Below are 5,187 nucleotides of genomic sequence, written 5' to 3'. Positions count from 1 at the left end.
CTTCAGGCAAAACATGCCAGGTCCTCTGGCTATTATTTTTAAATTTTTCTTAGAGACAGGGTCTCACCACGTTGCCAGACTGTTCTCAAACTCCTGGGCTTAAGAGATCCTCCTGCCTCAGGCTCCCAAATTGCTGAGACTACAAGCACAAGTCACCATACCTGCTCTTGGCTATTCTTCTTATGCTATGGTTTGGTCTTTCTGGTCATTTCCTTCTTTTTTATTTTTATTTATTTATTTATTTATTTTTGAGAGGGTGTTTCACTCTTGTCGCCCAGGCTGGAGTGCAATGGTGTCATCTCGGCTCACTGAAACCTCCGCCTCCCAGGTTCAAGCAATTCTCCTGCCTCAGCCTCCCGAGTAGCTGGGATTACAGGTGCCCACCATCACGCCCGTCTAATTTTTGTATTTTTGGTAGAGACGGGGATTCACCATGTTGACCAGGCTGCTCTCAAACTTCTGAGTTCAGGCCATCCACCTGCCTCAGCCACCCAAAGAGCTGAGATTACAGGCATGAGCCATTGCACCTGGCCCTAGTCATTTCCTTCTGGTCCTGCTCTGTGTGTCTTTAGGCCTCTCCTCTTGTGATACCCATGCTGCAAAAAGTAGCATGGGAGTGTCACCACCTCATTACAGATAGTCTTTATGTGACTCGTGTTGTACTTGCTGTCAGCCATCACCCATAAAGTCATTTTTACATAGGCTGTGAATCAGCCACATTTCTTCCTAGTCAGTAATAATTATAATAATTATACTTAACACTTATGAGAATTAGTATAGCAAGATGGTTAAGAACATAGGCTCTGGAATCAGACTGCCTAGTGGGAAGCACTATGATTGGCACCATGTGTTATCTATCACCATCACCATCATCATCATCCATCACCACCACTATCACCACCATCATCATCACCATCACCGTCATCTCCATCACCATCATCACATTACCATCACCACCACCGCCATCGCTATCACTACCATTATCACCATCACCATCATCACCATTGCTATCATCAACATCATCATCACCATCACCACCACCATCATCACCATCACGATCATTACCATCACTATCACCACCATCATCACCATTACCATCATCATGACCATCACCACCATCACCATCACTATCACTACCATTATTATCATCACCATCATTACCCTCACTATCACCATCATACCACCATCACCATCAGCACCATCATCATCATCACCATCATCACCATCACTGTCACATCATCATACCATCACCATCATCACCATCACCATAATAATCAGCACCATCACCTTCACCCATCACCATCACCACCATCTTCACCACCACCACCATCATCATACCATCACCATTTTCATCACCACCACCATCATCACCATTGCCATCATCATCACCACCATGTTACGTAAGCACTTTGCCTACATTAACTGATTTAATTCTCATAACAACTTCATAATGTAGGGGCTATTATTATCCCAGTTTTACAAGTGAGGAGGTGGGACCTCACAAGATTATGTTTTGTGCCGAGGGTAACAGTGACAAGAATTTAAACCTGGGCAGGGTCCTTTGATTGTTTATGTTTATTATGTCATTGACCAAAGTGCAAGACCATGTCTGTTCCTGCTATTCATAAATTTCATCTTTTAGTCAGCACTTTACCCTTATTTTACACTATCTTTTGGATTCCTGGTTCTGTCATCCCAAGTGTGCCTGCCCCCTAGCTTCATGCTGTCTGTCATATTGTGAGAAAAATAGGTATCTTCACCTAGATCATACACAAGGTCAGAGGCCATGTGACAGTTCCCTATGGATTCTGGTCACTGAAGCCCGATGGTGCACATCTCCTAAAGCTCCCTGAGCCTGTAGTCTTGTAACCCACTCAGAGAAGCCTAGGGAGTGGTCAGGCATGATTTGTATTTGAACATATTTGTATTTGGTTCCTGGGGAAGATGTTTCCTCCTCGCTTTCAGGTCTCCATTCCAGAATCTTTTCCAAGATGAACAACTCCCTCCAAATTTATAGTTGCTGAAATCAATTGTCTGGGCAGGGCCAGATGCAAGGAACAAATAGAAAGCAAGGTCTGCAGAACACACATCCCAGAGGTGATAATGACCAGTTAATCCCTGTGGATAGTTAGATCTAGGAGACTGTCCCTGGGTTTCAGGGATCCCTGCCTCTGAATCCAGCAGTGCAAATGCAAGCCTCTATGTTCCCCCTAAACCATAGGTGGCTGAGCAGCCATGGTGTTGCCAGCATTTCTATAAAGGAGGAGCTCAGGGCAGCAATCTCATCAGAGGGGAGGCTGGGGCTGGCCTTGAATTTAGGTTGTACGTATATTTGGGGCAATTTGCAAGGAGGGGGTGCCCTGTTAGAGATTATGTGAGCTAAATCCCCCACACAAAGCCATTTTGTGCCACTGCTCCTGTGCCAACTGACCAGAAAGTCTGGACTGATTTCTCCCCTCTCTCCTTTCCTTGTTCTGTTCTCTGACCCTGGATGATTAATGTAACCTAGCTATGTTCAATTACCTATCCTTTTCATGTTGTCGGGATGTCTGCCACCTGTCCCTGGTGCTCTTCTTGGCTTCCTGTGAACCGTGACAATGGGAGCCTTGCGACTTTTGGAGGAGAGCAGGGGGCCCTGTGTCTGCCATTAGTCTGGGCTCCCTAATCACACGATTTTCACTGGAGCCTGTCCGAGCTGGGAAGTTGCAAAACAAGCATGCAGGGAACATTCTTCCACCCCAGTATGCTCCCCTCATGAAATCATCAAGCAAACCCTGAATGCTTTCTCTTGGTGTGGTCAGGCAGAAGGGCTGTCCCTCTCATACCAGAGGAGTCAGTGGCCATTGGCTGACTGAGACTAATGGCAGATCTAGAAGGATTTGGAGAAGGCTGTCTTTGTTCTCTTAGAACAGCATGTAGCCATAGTAGTGCACATGTTTTTGGGACAGTGGTGCCCCCTCAAGCCATGAAAACTGATGGGGCACGGAGGGCAGCTCCAGCCAGAAATGGGAAGTGTCTCAAACTTTAGTGAAGTGATCTTTAATCTCTGATTTACAGAGCTGATGTTGACACATTATTCTCAGGAAAACAGTAGTTTAGGGTATGGTCTCAAGCTCTGTCTAGGTTGAAATTTTGTTGGGCATGTAGGTGCACATTTATAATCCCAGCATTTTGGGAAGCCAAGCAGGAAGATTTCTTGAGCTCAGAAGTTTGAGACCAGTCTGAGCAACATAGAGAGACACACTCTCTCCAAAAAAAAAATTAAAAATTAGCTGGGCATGGTCGCACACACCTGTAGTCTCAGCTACTGAGGAGGCTGAGGCAGAAGTATCACTTGATCCCAGGAGATTGAGGTTGTGATGAGCTGTGATCATGCCACAGCACTCCAGCCTGGGCAACAGAGCAAGACCCTGCCTCAAAAAAATATTTTACCAGCTCTGTGATCTAGGACAATTTATTTGAGTTTTGCAGGCCTCATCCAAAGATAATAATTGGACTTACCTTATTGGTTATGACAACTAAATAAAAAATAATACATGAAAAGGGCTTAGAACAGTTCCTGGCATTTAGTAAGAGATTTGTAACTATTAACTACTATTAGTACCATCAACATCTTTATTGCCACTATTTACTGAGTGTTTAATATGTGCCAGACATGTTTAAGCACATACAGAACATGCATTATTAGCTCATTGAACTTCACTTTTTTTTTGGGGGGGATGGGAAGGGGGTTGTTGTTTTTTGAGATGGAGTCTCATTCTGTCACCCAGGTGGGAGTGCAGTGGTGAGATCTCAGCTCACTGCAACCTCTGCCTCCCAGGTTGAAGCAATTCTCCTGGTTCAGCCTCACAAGTAGCTGAGACTATAGGCATGTGCAAACACACCCGGCTAATTTTTGTATTTTTAGTAAAGACAGGGTTTCACCATGTTGGCCAGGCTGGTCTTGAACTCGTGACCTCAAGTGATCTGCCCACCTCGACCTACCAAAGCGTTGAGATTATAGGCATGAGCCACTGTGCCTGGCTGAACTACACTTTGAAGTAGGGGTTAACCCTGTGCTTCAGTTGAGGAAATTAAAAATGGGAGAGTTCAGTAACCTGCACAAAGTTAAACCGGCAAGTAATTGAAGTCAAAATCTAGAATCAAGGGTTTTTTGTTTATTTTTTGTTTTGGAGACAGGGCGTCACCCAGGCTGGAGCGCAGTGGTGCAATCACAGCTCACTTTAGTTTCAACCTCCTGGGCTCAAGCAATCCTCCCACCTCAGCCTCCTGAGTAGATGGGACCAAAGGCATGCACTATCACACCTGGCTAATTTTTGTATTTTTTATAGAGACCAGGTTTCACTATGTCGTCCTGGCTAGTCTTGAACTCCTGGTTTCAAGTGATCTGCCGCCTGTCTTGGCCTCCCAAAGTGCTGGGATTACAGGCATGAGCCACCGCATCTGGCTTGGAATTGAGTTTTCCTAACTCTGGAGTTATGCTGCTATTGCCCTCTGCTACTGTTCATAGTAACAGCCTTATTACTGAGTATTTCCCACTTGCTGAGTAGGGTGCTGAGCACTTTACATGTCTTATTTCATTTAATGTTCACAATAATCCTATGAGGTAGATTCTCTTGTTATTCGCATTTTACAGATGAGGTAACAGGTTCAGAGAAGCTAAGCAGCCTCCACAAATTTATACGGCAAAGAAAGCCAACATTTAAATCCAGGCCTGCCTGACTCTAAAATCTGTTCTATTGAGTTTGACTGCCAAACAGGTGAGCAGGACGCTCCCAGGAGGATGGCAACAGTGATTGGTGATCCATGACGTCTGGGATCCACTGAAACTCAGGGATAGTTTGCCTAATCAGCCCTATTTTCTGAACTATCGTTAGGGACAATTTTCACTTTCTCTGATGCTTCATTTCCTTGCAGCTTCTGAAAGCTGTTGATTTGCTCAGATTAAGACAAGCTTCTGTGCCTTTCGCATCTCAGATTGTTGTGTACGTGCTCAAGAGTATGAAGGAATCATAAGCAGTCTAGGAGGCCCTGGTGCACTATGCAAAATTTTTGCCACATTGCTGTGTTTCTTGATGAAACACTTGAGGTTATGTGACTGCAAGATTCCAAATATGCATTTCAACATCAGGTTGTGACAGGGCAACTTGTTTTGTGATGCATAGCACTATAATATATTCTATATAC

At 44.7% G+C, this 5,187-nt stretch overlaps 1 annotated feature.

The window, feature by feature from the left end:
• Window positions 939–1,133: a silencer, noted in NCBI's record as "fragment chr12:38512623-38512817 (GRCh37/hg19 assembly coordinates)". NCBI's record gives its function as "represses an EF-1alpha promoter that drives an FKBP-Casp9 reporter gene in an ReSE screen in HepG2 liver carcinoma cells {active_cell/tissue: HepG2}" and the evidence as "EXISTENCE:reporter gene assay evidence [ECO:0000049][PMID:32094911]".

This window comes from Homo sapiens, chromosome 12, assembly GCF_000001405.40.
Source record: "Homo sapiens chromosome 12, GRCh38.p14 Primary Assembly".
Lineage (NCBI taxonomy): Eukaryota > Metazoa > Chordata > Mammalia > Primates > Hominidae > Homo > Homo sapiens.
This window is presented reverse-complemented; position numbering and strand designations above follow the sequence as displayed.